Genomic DNA, 15,136 nt, shown 5'->3' with positions numbered 1-15,136 from the left:
AAGTGGAATCTTATGAGCATACAGTTGGAAGGAAGGTAAAGCTAAAGAGAGAAAGGACCTTCTTCTAGTGCTCACTCTTTATCCCATGATCTCAGCTACTGGCCTCCTGAATTTCATTAGTCTTTTCAGATCAGCCATCTCTACAGCTCCTCCCCACTCCCCGACAGGGGCCTGTTGTTGAAGGGCATGACTGAGTGAGCCAGGGTTGCAAGATTGGATGTTTCTGTGGCCTTTCATTGTTCTAGGGTATAGACTAACCTTGGGGGAGAATGGACACAGACAAGTTAACCACCATCAAGATGTAGTTGCAGGAGCACAGGGCTTCTCTTAGCCTGCAGGGCCTGGCCCACACTGCCCTGAGGATTGGCACAGAGCCAGCAGAGTGCTGTGAGGGGTGCTGTCCCAAGCCCCATCTGACTTTAGTCTGCCTTTCTCTCCCTAGAACCAGCAGAGCCACATGGAGGACAGACAGAGACATGGGGCTGATGAATGCCATTGGGCTTCAGCCCCGGAACCCTGCCACCTCAGTGACATCTCAGGGCACCCAGACTCTGGCCCTTCAGCTGCAGAATGCCGAAACACAGACTGAGAGGGAGGTGCCGGAGCCAGGGACAGCCGCCTCAGGTCCTGGTGAAGGTAGGAGCCATGTGGCGCTGGAGGGGGTGGGAGAGGGACCCTAAGACCGAGTGAGTGCCACTTCCCACTCAGGATGCATACCCCCTCCCATGTCTGGGTGATGCCCACCTGGTGGCATTAAGAGCCTCCTCAGCAGCGACATGGTTTCCCTGAGCTGGGTCACTCTTGCAGCTCGCCTCAACTCCCACCAAGTACACTGATGTCCCTCTCCTCTAAAATGTGAGGACCCTGTCTCTTTTTCCAAAGAGAGAGCACAGAAAGCCTGGATTGAAAGGGCTAAAGGGAGACTCCCTCCTGCAAGCTGCCATTCCAGAGAAGTACACCCCAGGCCTTAGCTTCTGGGGCCAAACCACAGCCTAGCTTGTCGTCCCCCTACCAGTGTGGCAGATTTGGGACTGCCCCATGGGAGGACCTCTCACAATCCTGTCACACCTGGGGCTCGTTGACATTTTGGCTGCAGCCTGGCCTATCATCAGCCCCTTCCTCTCACCTATTTCAGGTGTGGCTCTGCCACACTCGGCCCTGACTCTCTGTGCCAGCCTCACACTTTTAAAAACCAATTAGCACTTCCCAGCAGCAGAGTTCGAGCCACTTAGGAGTCCGTCAGCAGCTGTGTTAAACAGGCTGTTCTCACTCAGTTGCTATCCTCACCCCCTACCTCCAGCCCCCTTGCTGATCCTAGCTCCAAACAAAGCAGCCTCCAAACAGACACATTTTCTAAGTCTGTGTTGAGCCATTTGCCCAGAAGAGACCATGGGAGGAAAAGCCACGGTGCACGTCAGGCAAAGAATAACAAACGTGCCTATCACCCCAGGGAATGGCTTTCTACACCGCAGTCCCCAACAGGGTATTGCGTGGTCGCTTGCGATGCCATGAACTGAGAATTTTCAAAGTGAAGTCCCTCTTTGGTCTGTAGCACAGCCCACCTCCTGCATTTGTGCTTGGTGGAAGCCCCTCGCTGGGGCCATGACCATAAGGTGGTGCTGGCTGGAGCAGCCAACCTCCGCTGTGAGCCTCTGGGAGGAGGTGGTGGAAGGCTCCTTCTGCCATCTTCAGGCCCTTTTTTGCAGGTTTCTGTGGACTCTGAGCTGCTCTGGAGTCCATTAGGCCTTTTCCAGGAAGCCTGAGGGCCAGGCAAAAGGGAACCACCACGGGCTTCTCAATGGAGCCAGCAGGCCAGCCCTCTCAGTAGGAGGCAAACCTCTCAGAGCTCCCAGTAACCCCTGACAGCGAGAGGGATTTGGAGAAGTGGGCCATTCTCTTAGGCAGCCCCTTCTTTTTATTTTTATTTATTTATTTATTTATTTTTGAGACAGAGTCTCACTCTGTCACCTAAGCTGGAGTGCAGTGGCATGATCTCGGCTCACTTCAGCCTCTGCGATCTCAGCTCACTGCAACCACCGCTTCCCGAGTTCAAGTGATTCTCCTGCCTCAGCCTCCCAAGTAGCTGGGATTACAGGCATGTGCCACCACTCCCGGCTAATTTCTGTATTTTTAGTAGAGACAGGGTTTCACCATGTTGTCCAGGCTGGTCTCGAACTCCTGACCTCGTGATCCGCCTACCTCGGACTCCCAAAGTGCTGGGATTAAAGGCGTGAGCCACCGTGCCTGGCCTGTTTTTTTATTTTTTGAGATGGAGTCTCACTCTGTCGCAGAGGCTGGAGTGCAGTGGTGCAATCTCAGCTTACTGCAACCTCTGCCTCCCAGGTTCAAGTGATTCTGTCTGCCTCAGCCTCCCGAGTAGCTGGGATTACAGGCTCCTGCCACCACTCCCAACTAATTTTTGTATTTTTTAGTAGAGACGGGGTTTCGCCATGTTGGCCAGGCTGGTCTTGAACTCCTGACCTCAAGTGATATGCCCACCTCAGCCTCCCAAAGTGCTGGGATTACAGGCGTGAGCCACCATACCTAGCCAGCCCCTTATGTGTGTTTGTAGTATGTATATATGTATGTGCAAATAGCAGTCACTGGAAGAGAGTGTTGTTTGTTTTGTTTTGTTTTTGAGATGGGGTCTCACTATGTTGCCCTTGCTGGCCTTGAACTCCTGGGATCAAGTGATCCTCCCACCTTGGCCTCCCAAAGTGCTGGAGTTACAGGTGTGAGCCACCACACCCGGACCTTTTTTTTTTTTTTTTTTTTTAATTTAAAGATAGAGTCTCAGCTGGGTGTGGTGGCTCACGCCTGTAATTCTAGCAACTTTGGGAGGCCGAGGTGGGCAGATCACTTGAGATCAGGAGTTCAAGACCAGCTGGCCAACATGGTGAAACGCTGTCTCTACTAAAAACACAAAAATTAGCCGGGCATGGTGGTGGGCACCTGTAATCCCAGCTACTGAGGTGGCTGAGGCAGGAGAATCACTTGAACCTGGGAGGCAGAGGTTGCAATGAGCCAAAATCACACCACTGCACTCCAGCCTGGGCAACAAAGCAAGACTCTGTCTCAAAAATAATAATACAATAAATAAATAAAGACAGAATCTCAGCTGGGCATGGTAGCTCACACCTGTAGTCCCAGCACTTTAGGAGGCCAAGGCAGGAGGATCTGTTGAGTCCTGGAGTTCAAGACCAGCCTGGGCAACACAGCAAAACCTTGTCTCTACTAAATATACAAAAAATTAGCCGAGCATGGTGGCACGCATCTGTAGTCCCAGCTACTCTGGAGGCTGGAGGCAGGAAGATTGCTTGAGCCTGGAAGGTGGCGACTGCAGTGAGCTGTGATATGCCACTGCACTCCAGCCTGGAAGACAGAGTGAGACCCTGTCTCAAATATAAATAAATAAATGAAATAAAGATAGAGTCTCACTCTGTCACTCAGGCTGGAGTACAGTGGCACCATCATGGCTCACTGCAGTCCTGAACTCCTAGGCTCAAGCGATCTTCCTGCCTCAGCCTACTGACTAGCTGGGACTACAGGTGTGTGCCACCATGCCTGGCTATTTTTTTAATCATTATTTTTTTTTAGAGATAGGGTCTCACCGTGTTGCCTGGGCTGGTCTTGAACTCCTAGCTTCAAGCAAGCCTCCCTTCTTGGCCTCCCAAAGTGCTGGAATTACAGGCATGAAGCACTGCACCCGGCTGGGCAGCCCTTTCTGATTTGATTTCACTGAGCTTTTACCATGTGTCAGCCACTTGGTAAAAGCGGTGAAGACAAGTAGGCCTCTCTGTCCTTCCATGAGGAGCTCGCAGTCTAGAGAGGGAGATGGGCACCTAAACTGATAATTGTTTTAGTGTGATGAGGACCTCTGGAGCATAGAGGAGGAGGGGCTTTGCCCAGCCTGTGGGGTTTAGGGGAGACTCCTGGAGGAGGTGGCCCTGAGCCTAGTCTTCAAGGATGAATAGGAGTCAGGTGAAGTAGGGTGGTGGGGAAGCATTCCTGGAGACATGTCTCAGCACATGAAATGGCACCAAGTTCAAAGACATGTTACTGCATAAAGGACCACTAATTTGTGTTCATGGCATGTCTGGTGCATGTGGAGAACTGACACTGGATGAGTGGGGAAGGCAAGTTACTGGGACTGGGCTGGGAGTGAGGCCTTCAGCCTGAAGGTGACATGCTGGGGCTCTGGGAGCAGGAGCTGCCACCTTCAGAAGTATGTCTGCTGGTGTTTCACCTCCCAGAGAATTCTCTGCTGTTTTCTTGGTTAGCATGCAGCCCATTTCTGGCTTCTAGTCAATTATAAGTTCCTTTCATTCTTTTGGGGGGATGGGGACAGAGGGTGGGGCAGAGGGAAGGAGCTCTTTTCCCTGGTTTTAGGAGGCAAGACCTGGTTCCTCGCCCCACTATCCCCTCCTCCTGTAAAGTAGAGTAGGCGGTAGAGGATGGCCCCAGCTAAGCTGAGGCTCTGGTCAGCGGGAGCAGCAGGCAGAGTGAGACCGGGCAGCTGGCTGCTTCTGCCTGCCTGCATCCCTGCATGCTCTGCGTATACCCTGTACCCACAGCTGTTCCACACACCATACCCCTTTCAGAAACCAGTCAGGGCAGGGGAGGTGTGGGTCAGAGGGTATGGGCACTTGATGGATGGGTGTCATTCTCCAGCCTTGTCCCTCCTAGGGCAAGGAGCCTTGCTCTGAGGCACTCACACCACTATTGTGCTGTCAGACTCTTCAGGGGAGCCCAGGGATCAGGGCTCTCTTTGAGCCCAGATTTCCCCATGCAGAGGCAGCTGGCAGGTTTTGTATTGACAAAACCAGAGCTGCAAGAGCATGGATAGTGAAACCCTCTGGTCAGGGAGTTCAGCTCTTCTGGGCTGGGCTAGAAGGGAGATCCCACCTGTACTCACACCTGCTACAGGCACCAAGATTTATTTATTTTGTTTTTATTTTTTGAGACAAGATCTCGCTCTTCCATCCAGGCTGGAGTACAGTGACACGAACACGGCTCACTGCAGCCTCGACCTCCTGGGCTCAAGGGATCCTCCCACCTCAGCCTCCTGGCACACGCCACCACGCCTGGCTAATTTTGTTTATTTTGTTTGTTGTAGAGACAGGGTTTCACCATGTTGCCCAGGCTGGTCTCGAACTCCTGGGCTCCAGTGATCCTCCCACCTTGGCCTCCCAAAGTACTGGGATTATAGGCGTGAGCCGCCACATGCAGCCACACAGATTTATTAATGTGGGAAGCCTGCTCTGCTTGTGGTAATTGCTGTTCTGTGCCCTGCCCCTCCCCACTCCCCTTGGCCCTTTTCTGTCAGTTAGCACCAAAGGGCTCCTAGGCTACTTCTCATTTTCTTGTTCTATAAAAATGTGGTTGAAATCCATTCAGCTCTTTCCAGGCCTTCCAGGAGGAGCCCTCCACAGGGGTATTTGCACGCGTCAGCTTTTTTGCATGTTCAACTTTAACAAGAGTTTGACTTCTCCCAGAATTTGACTCTACAGCAAGCTTTCCTACCCTGCTGGCCAAGAGCATAGCTCGAAAAGGGAGGGAAGCATTTCCTGGGCTCACCGTTGGCTTCCAGCACTGATGACAGTGCCTCCCTAGCTTGCAGTGGGCATTCAGGGCAAGCATGGAATTAATGAGTTTAGCTGAGCTGAGGCAAGGCCCTGCCTCTGAGCATGGCTGTGCCCCACTATTTGGAGAGCACCATGGCTGTGCCCCTGACCCGTAGCAAAGGTCATCTGAGCCTCTGTTTTGTCTGGTGAAGATGGTCGGTAGACCAGCAGCAGTAGCCTGGGCCCTGGGCCAGGAAAAAGCAAATGTGAAGAGGGAGGGGCTGGAAGACCAGTACTCCCAGAGGTCAGGAAGGGCAGCTCCTCCTGTGACTCTCTGAGCCTCAGTTCCCTCTTTGGCTCTTCTGGCAATGAAATCTCTAGAATTAAATATGGTTGTAGGGCATGGTGGGAACTTGTTGATCCTACCCTGGCCTCTGCTTCTAGAGTGTACCTTAGGACTTGCCAAGGAAGAGACCTCATGTGAACTCTAAATCAATTTCCTATTTTCAAAGACAAAAACAGATGCTTTTGCTACAGAGGAGGAGACTGCAGAATTAACCCCCTGTCTGCCACTGTGCCTGGATCCCTGACTGTAACTGCCATTTCCCTCTAGCCCTGGTATTTTTTCTCTTGAAGAATGTGCCAGCTCTCCTCAGTTGCTCTTAGCCTTGGCTTAGAGTTCCCAGGAGGGAAGCATAGCTCATAGTTCTGTAGGCTGAAGCTGTCCACACCGAGCCCTGGGGGAGCCATTTGTTTGTACATTTTAAAATCTTCCATTCATTCTTTTTTGAGCACTTACTTTGTGTCTGGTATTGTGTTCGGCACCATGAATTCAAGGGCACTGTGGAGGGAATTACATTGAGATGAATCCATTGTGTCTCTTCCCTCAAAGAGCAAGTCCAGAGAGAACTAGACATGTAAGTGCTTCTCCAGTGGCTCATGCCTGTAATCCCAGCACTTTGGGAGGCTGAGGCAGGCAGATCACAAGGTCAGGAGTTCGAGACCAGCCTGGCCAATGTGGTGAAACCCCATCTCTACTAAAAATACAAAAAAAAATTAGCTAAGTGTGGTGGTGCACACATGTAATCCCAGCTACTCGGGAGGCTGAGGCAGGAGAATTGCTTGAACCTGGGAGGCGGAGGTTGTAGTGAGCTGAGATCTCGCCACCGCACTCCAGCCTGGGCAACAGAGCAAGACTCCGTCTCAAAAAAATAAAATAAAATAAATGCTTCTCCCACAATGGGCAGTTACAAGACCGGTTTTCCAAGCATCCTTAAGTCTGGAGCCCCTGTGAGGAGCCTGGGAGCCCTTTTATTAATACATACATGTATTTGACAAATACACGCCCAGTGTAAACCCACGTGTTAGACTTGGCTGAAAAGAGAATACAGCTGAGTCCAAGACCTTCAGGAACTTATAGGCCAGAAGAGAGATGCCACAGCTACGGGGAGTTGTGAAGCACTGTGAGGTCCCAGAGAAGGAGCATCCCCTTCTAGCTGGGGGACCAGAGAGAAGTGGGTGGCAGAGGAGATGGGACGAGAGCATGGCACAGTGTGCACAGTGTATGCCCATCTGTGCAGGCAGGGAGCAGGGCTGCCGGGTACCTGCAGGAATGTGGGGGACAGGGCAGGAAGGTCTGCAGCATGATAAGGGTCTGGCCAGAGAGCCCTCAAATGTCAAGCTAAGGAGTTTTGACTACTGTGAGGGCTTTTGCAGCTGCTGGGTTTTGAACAGGGTGCAGACTTAACCAGAGCTCAAGTCAGCAGAGCTGAATTAGGATGGTAATAGGAACAGTGTGGAGACTAGACGGAAGGGGAGGAGACTGGAAGCAAGAAGCCCAGTTAGGACACAGTCATAGCCATAGAGAGGGGTGGCCAGGCCTGGAGCCATAGGCAAGCAAGCAGTGGGCTCAGACTTGAGTGCCAGCAGCAGGGCCTCCCGCAGAGCCTGGGAAAGCCCATCCGGGGCTCTCTGGGGGCTTGGCTGCAGCAGCACCCATAGGGCCCCAAGGCAGCCTGTTCTGCCCCTGGTAATCTACTTGAGAAGAGCTGAGCTGGGTGCGGTGGCTCATGCCTCCCAGAACTTTGGGAGGTCCAAGTGGGTGGATCACAAGGTCAGGAGTCTGATACCAGCCTGGCCAGCATGATGAAACACTGTCTCTACTAAAAATACAAAAATTAGCTGGGTATGGTGGCACATGCCTGTAGTCCCAGCTACTCGGGAGGCTGAGGCAGGAGAATTGCATGAACCCGGGAAGTGGAGGTTGCAGTGAGCTGAGATCATGTCACTGCACTCCAGTCTGGGCGACAGAGCGAGACTCTGTCTCGAAAAGAGCTGAGAATTCACTAGGCACAGCGCCTGGCACAGTGCACTCCAATGCCAGCAGGCCTCAGGCCAGCCACAGCACGCCCCAGACCATGCTGCGAGGGCTTCAGTGCACAGAGTTCTGAGAAAGCATTGGGGCTACAGTGAGCACAGGGAGGGCCCCAGGGGACCTCCCCAGGCAGCCCTTGGCTCCCAGGGTAGAATCTCTGTGGGCACCAAGGCCGTAGGTTGACTTTTTTCTTCTTACCTTCTGCCCCACTGTTAGAAGGCTTTAAAACCTGAAGATGGGGTTGACCCAGTACTCTGAGAGCCCTTCAGGTTTTCTCTCCTTCTGCCCTGGGAGCTGGAGCCGGGTGTCCCAGGAGGAAGTGGGGAAGGGCAGCCACCTTGAGGGATGGAGGGCAGTGCTTTATCAGGGGTTGTCCAGAAAAGCAAGAGAGGACATAATGCTGAGGAAGATCGTCTAAGACTGGGGCTGGGCGCAGTGACTCACCCATGTAATCCCAGCATTTTGGGAGGCCAAGGCAGGAGGATTGCTTGAGCCCAGGAGTTCAAGACCAGCCTGGGCAACACGGCGAAACCGTCTCTGCAAAAAGTACAAAAAATTAGCCAGGAGTGGTGCTTGCCTGTACTCCCTACTACTCAGGAGGCTGAGGTGGGTGGATCACTTGCACCCAAGAGGCTAAGCTACAGTGAGCCATGTTTGTACCATTGCACTCCAGTTTAGGTGACATAGCGAGACCTGGTCTCAAAAAAAAAAAAAAAAAAAAAAAAAAAAAAAAAAAACTATAGAAAGAACTAGAAGCATGAGGCTGCCAAGTACCAACAAGAAGGGTGAGAGATCTCTTGGGGCCTTAGATGCCACCAAGCTGTGAAACTGGCTGGCCTGGAAATCCAACTCTAATGAGGCAGGCAGAGAGAAGGGGATGGATGGGGTTAGGGGAGCAAAGAAAGTCTCATAAAAATAGCTGCTGGCAAGTACCCCAAAAGGAAAGAAAACTCACCATCAAAACCCCCAAAACTGCAAAATTCCAAACAGTAGCTGATGGAGACAAATCAGCAGTTCAGTGGAGCCATCCCTCGCAGCCTCAGAGCCTTGATCATAGTTGCCCACGGTCTTGGCCTGGTTCTCACCCTACCAAGAGCTGAGCAGAAAGCTGGAAGGGAGGTCCCACAGCAATAGAGCTCCACTGCTGCAGACCCCAAGTTAATCACAACAGGCACCGTTGACCAAGTGCCTGGGCTGTGCGTTAGCTCCTTTTCTCTCTCCAGCACCGTGCAAGGTAGATGTTAGGGATTTTTTTCAAGGTCACCCAGCAAGCAAGTGACAGCTGAGATTTGAGCCGAAGTCTTTTCTGTTCCCACACAAGGGAATGCTCAGGCATTTCTGCAGAGGGAGTGGCGGACAGATCCTTCTCTCCCTCCCTAGACCTGGGTCCTGTGCTGGTCAGTTGACTCTTTTCCGGGAAATATGGCATCAGGCATTGAGCCCCAGGAGAACAATAACTGGGGAATAGCTTGTGAAGACTGGGGGGTAAAGGGAAAGAAGAGAAGGAAACAGCCCTTCCAAGGAACAGTTAAAACTCTCAGCTTCTGACCAGGCACGGTGGCTCACGCCTGTAATCCCAACACTTTGGGAGGCCTAGGTGGGCGGATCGCCTGAAGTCAGGAGGTCGAGAGCAGCCTGGCCAACATGGTGGAACCCCATCTCTACTAAAAATACAAAAAATTAGCCAGGTGTGGTGGGAGCCTGTAATCCCAGCTACTCAGGAGGCTGAGGCAGGAGAATCGCTTGAACCTGGGAGGTGGAGGTTGCAGTGAGCCAAGATTGTGCCACTGCACTTCAGCCTGAGTGACAAGAGCAAAACTCCATCTCAAAAAACAAAGGCTGGGCACGGTGGCTCATGCCTATAATCCCAGCCTTTTGGGAGGCTGAGGCAGGCAGATTACCTGAGGTCAGGAGTTCGAGACTGGCCTGGCTAACATGGTGAAACCCCGTCTCTACTAAAAATACAAAAATTAGCTGGGTGTGGTGGCGGGCACCTGTAATCCCAGCTACTCGGAGGCTGAGGCGGAAGAATGGCTTGAACCCAGGAAGTGGAGGTTGCAGTGAGCTGAGATCGCATCATTGCACTCCAGCCTGGGCGACTAGAACAAAACTCCATTTCAAAAAAATAAATAAATATGGCCAGGCGTGGTGGCTCACGCCTGTAATCCTAGCACTTTGGGAGGCCGAGGAGGGTGGATCACCTGAGGTCAGGAGCTCGAAACCAGCCTGGCCAACATGGGGAAACACCATCTCTACTAAAAATACAAAAATGAGCCAGGTATGATGGTGCATGCCTGTAATCCCAGCTACTTGGGAGGCTGAGGCAGGATAATTGCTTGAACCCGGGAGGCGGAGGTTGCAGTGAGCCAAGATCACACCACTGCACTCCAGCTTGGGTGACAGAGCAAGACTCTGTCTCAAAAATAAATAAAATAGGCCAGGCGCAGTGGCTCACACCTGTAATCCCAACACTTTGGGAGGCTGAGGTGGGCAGATCACGAGATCAGGAGATCAAGAACATCCTGGTTAACATGGTGAAACCCTGTCTCTACTAAAAATATAAAATTAGCTGGGTGTGGTGGCGGGCACCTGTAGTTACTCAGGAGGCCGAGGCAGGAGAATGGTGTGAACCCAGGAGGTAGAGCTTGCAGTGAGCTGAGATCGCACCACTGCACTCCAGCCTGGGTGAAAGAGTGAGACTCCATCAATCAATCAATCAATATAAAAATAACTCTCAGCTTCCTCAGGGGCTTTGAGGAGGTAACACAAAACTACGCTGAAGGAAGACAGCATTGTAATGAAGCAGAGCAGACTGTTTCCCTTTGGGCCACACCCATAGGGTACCTACTCTCTTTGCAGAGAAAGGGTGGCATACCCCAGCTCAGCCCTAGGTCTGCTGAGTTTCCACAACAGGGAGCAGGCAGACAAAACCAGCTGTCTGAACCTGCCTTCTCGCATGCTAAGCTGCCACTGGTGCTGAGAGAACTCATTGAGGCCAACCTGCTGCCTTCTGGGCCAGTGCTGCCTCTTAACTGGCCATCCTAGGCCTCAGTTTCCCCACCAGTAAAACAGAAGTATGGATTGTGAACATTTTGGGGGTTTTGTCTAGCTTTCAAGACTCGGATTGGTTTTCACAGTGATGGAGCGAGTCTTTCTCTATCCTGCGTTTAGTCAAGAATCCCCCAGCTGCTACCGGTGGCTGCCCACCTGCCTCAGAGGCCCAGGCCAGCAGCCAATTCGCTCTCTCTTCTGCTTTGTATCTGCCAGGTGAGGGTTCAGAGTATGGTGCCAGTGGAGAAGATGCGCTCAGCAGGATCCAGAGGCTGATGGCGGAGGGCGGCATGACAGCCGTGGTGCAGCGGGAGCAGAGCACCACCATGGCCTCCATGGGCGGCTTCGGCAACAACATCATCGTCAGCCACCGCATTCACCGCAGCTCTCAGACGGGCACTGAACCTGGTGCCGCCCACACCTCCTCACCCCAGCCCTCCACCTCTCGGGGACTGCTCCCAGAGGCCGGGCAACTGGCAGAGCGAGGCCTAAGCCCCCGGACAGCTTCCTGGGACCAGCCTGGTACCCCTGGGCGGGAGCCAACCCAGCCAACCCTGCCCTCTTCCTCCCCTGTCCCCATTCCTGTTTCCCTTCCCAGCGCTGAGGGACCAACCCTCCACTGCGAGTTGACCAATAACAACCACCTTCTGGATGGTGGCAGCAGCAGGGGGGACGCTGCAGGCCCTAGGGGAGAACCACGGAACAGGTAGAGACAAACGTTGCACTGGTGCCTCCCCTCGAACCGCCAAGCAGAAACCGGACCTCACAGCTGACTGGGAACTGGACATGTGGAAGAGCTGCTGGCTGCATCAGGGAACAGGAGGAGGAAGAGGGTCAGGGTGGAGAGGAAGATCAGTCAGTGGGCACAAGACAGTCAAATGGGCAAGGCCTGCCTCGGGGAACTAGAACCTTCCAGGATCTGGAGCCCGGGAGAGCCACACTGTGGGCTTAATGTGAATAGAGGAACAAGTGGGTATCTCTGCCAGGCACCCCACTTTCTCCTAGTAACATGGGCTCAGGGGACTCAGCCCTGGACAGAGAGCCTCCAGAGAGTGAACAGTCTTCCAGATCTGGGCCAATCATCCTGGACAGAGGCCCGCGAGGCAGCTTTGCCCTGTCCACCTGTTGGGTGGGCAGAGCCACCAGGAACCCAGACACCACCTCCAACTCTGAGCCTTCCAGAGCTTCAGCCTCTCTTCGTCGTCTTACCCCACTGAAACCAACAGGGATCGGGCCAGGCTCCCAGATTCTTGAGGACAGGGACTTCGGCATTTACTAATGGGGGACTACTGTGGGGTAAGGGGGCGCCTGCTTGCCTGATACAGGATGGGGTCAAGGGACAGTGGGCAGGTCCTCACTCAGGAGTGGGGGGTGTAGGCTGGCCAGCCCCCAGGGCTTGTCCACCAGTCTTCTCCCCGCAAGGCCCTCAGAGCAGCGCCTGTGGGTGTCAGTATTACCTGAGCCTAGGCCAAAGCTAGCCCAAGGCTGGGGAAGGGGAGGAGACTCCAGGTCAGAATGTGAGGTCTCAGTCTGTGATTTAAGGTGTTGCATGTGGACTCTTAACTGTACGTGTAGTTTCTAGTGGAGAAATCAAGGCTCTGATCATTTTGTTTTTAGTATGAAAATGTGATTTCCTTTCTGTTTGTAACTCATCATAGAAACATTGTGGTGGGAGGAGAGGGGATAGTCTACAGCTAATGAGGGAAACACCAAAGATCACATCATTAAAATGATGACATGCCCCTCGCCAGGCTCCTCTCTCTTATTTCCAAGGAGGATGGGGGAGGGGTGGGGATTGGGAAGTGAGGGGCATTGAACTGGGCCAGGCCCAGGTTCTCCCGGCACTGTTTCTGGTGCTCTCCTAGTGGGGTGCAGTGGACCCCTCTGACCCCTTCGCCAGAGCTGGTCAGGTGAGGGCTGCCACCTCTGCTTCATACCACTTCTCTGTACGCCACCACTTCCTGCTTCCCCAGGGCCTGCTACAGACTGGGGCCACCTTCCAGTGCCAGGGTGAGTATGTAGGAAGGAACGACAGAAGGCTATTCATCCTAATAGCTTCCCACCCAGGACTACAGGCCTGAAGTGATGTAACTGGCCAGAAACCTGGATCCCCTCCAGTCCTGGGAAAGCACGCACAGCAGGTGTCCAGCCTGCTAGGCAGGTGGAGGGGCTTGGTCCTATCTGCAGGCAAGGTGCCAGTTGCTAGCTGCTCAGGTCTCCCTTGACTGTGTCTTCCCTACAGTGGCCGAAAGGCCTGCTCTATTCGTGGGCTTTGGCTGCTTGAAAGCTTCCAGCTGGCCAGGCGTGGTGGCTCACGCCTGTAATCCCAGCACTTTGGGAGACCGAGACAGGCGGATCACTTGAGGTCAGGAGTTTGAGACCAGCCTGGCCAACATGGTGAAACCCTGTCTCTGCTAAAAATACAAAAAAATTAGCCAGGCGTGGTGGCTCGCACCTGTAATCCTAGCTACTGGGGAGGCTTGAACCCTGGAGGCAGAGGTTGCGGTGAGTCAAGATCACGCCACTGCACTCCAGCCTGGGCAACAGAGTGAGACTCCGTCTCAAGTGGGAAAAGGATATTTGCCCCAACTCTTCAAGAGCTCTAATGGAAAATCCAAGCAATTCCAGGGCTTTTTGCCAGCAGCACGTACTTTTGAGTGTGTGTGTGTGTGCCCAAATCTGTCCCTGATGCCATGGGGCACTCAGAATTCCAGGTTCTGCTCCAACAGAGACAAAACCAAAAGATAAGTTGGCAAGCAAGAAATAAAAAACCATGGCCAGAGTTAGGAAGACTCTTATTTTCTAGAAAATTCTGTATTAGTGGACTCTGGACTGAAAGACACATCACTTAGCTGTGTGACTTTGGGCAAGCCATTTGCCTTTTCTGGGCTTCACTTTCCCTTGTTAGGATGCAGGGCTTGTACTACACAACCTCAAAGTTACTTCTAGTTCTGTACTTTGGAATCACTGAAGCCCAGAGAGCACACAAGTGGCTAGGGCAGGCTTCCTTTCAGAGGTGGGATTTAGACACCTGTAGTCCCTAAGTACTTGGGAGGCTGAGGCAGGAGGATCACTTGAGCCCAGGAGTCCAAGTCCAGCCTGGGCAACAAAGTGAGACCGTATCTCTCTCTCTCTTTTTTTTTTTTTTTTTTTTTGAGACGGAGTTTCGTTCTTGTTGCCCAGACTGGAGTGCAATGGTGCCATCTCGGTTCACCGCAACCTCCATCTCCCAGGTTCAAGCGATTCTCCTGCCTCAGCCTCCCTAGTAGCTGGGATTACAGGCATGAGCCACCACGCCTGGCTAATTTTGTATTTTTAGTAGAGATGGGGTTTCTCCGTGTTGGTCAGGCTGGTTTCGATCTCCCGACCTCAGGTGATCTGCCTGCCTTGGCCTCCCAAAGTGCTGGGTTTACAGGCATGAGCCACCGTGCCCGGCTGATGCTATCTCTTTAAAAAAAAAAAAAAGTGGATTTGAGCTAAGCATTGAAGGATGGAAGGAGAAGGGAGCCCACTGCCCCACATCCTCTCCCCACCACCCGTTGGAGGAAGAATTCCTTGGTCTGATAGTGGGTCCTGCTAATTTGTTTAATGTAAACCACAGGCCAGGAGTCAATGTGCGTTCTCTCTGTCAATCCTCACAAAAACTCTCTGAGGTCATTACTGCTGTTACCCCCAGAGCACACAATTAACTGGCAGAGCCAGAGTTTGAACCAAGTAGTGTATGATTCCAGAGTGCACACTTCAGCCAGTCATTTCTACAGAAGGAAGACAAGGTGTAGGAGAAACAATGGAACCCTGACTTGTTCTGTTGCTTTGGGGAAAAGGGTATGGGGAGGTCCCTAGGGATGAAGTGGTCCAAATTTGTTTTTTGGGTTTTTTTGTTTGTTTTTTGTTGTTTTGTTTTGTTTTGTTTTTGAGATGGAGTCTCTGTCACCCAGGCTGGAGTGCAATGGCACAATCTCAGCTCACTGCAACCTCCACCTCCCAGGTTTAAGCAATTCTCCTGCCTCAGCCTCCTGAGTAACTGGGATTACAGGTGTGTGCCACCACACCCAGCTAATTTTGTTTGTATTTTTAGTAGGGATGGGGTGTCACCATGTTAACCAGGCTGGTCTCAAACTCCTGACCTCAAGTGATCTGCCTGTCT

The 15,136-nt window shown here is 52.6% G+C and overlaps 1 protein-coding gene across 10 annotated transcripts in view, besides 1 other annotated feature; it reads left to right on the top strand.

The window, feature by feature from the left end:
- Window positions 1–12,737, top strand: part of AMBRA1 (autophagy and beclin 1 regulator 1) — a 197,612-nt gene extending 184,875 nt beyond the window's left edge. For 9 of the 10 annotated variants that reach the window (NR_160027.1, NM_001367470.1, NM_001367469.1 and 6 more), the window contains 2 exons: window positions 443–636; window positions 11,206–12,735. Coding sequence is in view for 9 of the 10 variants with exons in the window: in NM_001367470.1 (NP_001354399.1) it covers window positions 443–636; window positions 11,206–11,699 (688 nt within the window). In the remaining variant the exon portion in view is untranslated. Of the gene's footprint in view, window positions 1–442; window positions 637–11,205 lie in introns of all 10 variants that reach the window. The other variant, NM_017749.3, reaches the window with a different exon arrangement.
- Window positions 935–1,722: an enhancer, noted in NCBI's record as "H3K27ac-H3K4me1 hESC enhancer chr11:46428977-46429764 (GRCh37/hg19 assembly coordinates)". NCBI's record gives its function as "activates a minimal SCP1, AML or CMV promoter by ChIP-STARR-seq in naive H9 embryonic stem cells {active_cell/tissue: H9 hESC(naive)}" and the evidence as "EXISTENCE:reporter gene assay evidence [ECO:0000049][PMID:30033119]".
- Window positions 12,738–15,136: the final 2,399 nt, after the last annotated feature.

This window comes from Homo sapiens, chromosome 11, assembly GCF_000001405.40.
Source record: "Homo sapiens chromosome 11, GRCh38.p14 Primary Assembly".
NCBI lineage: Eukaryota > Metazoa > Chordata > Mammalia > Primates > Hominidae > Homo > Homo sapiens.
Note: the sequence above shows the minus strand (reverse complement) of the source record. Positions and strands in the feature narration are given on the sequence as shown.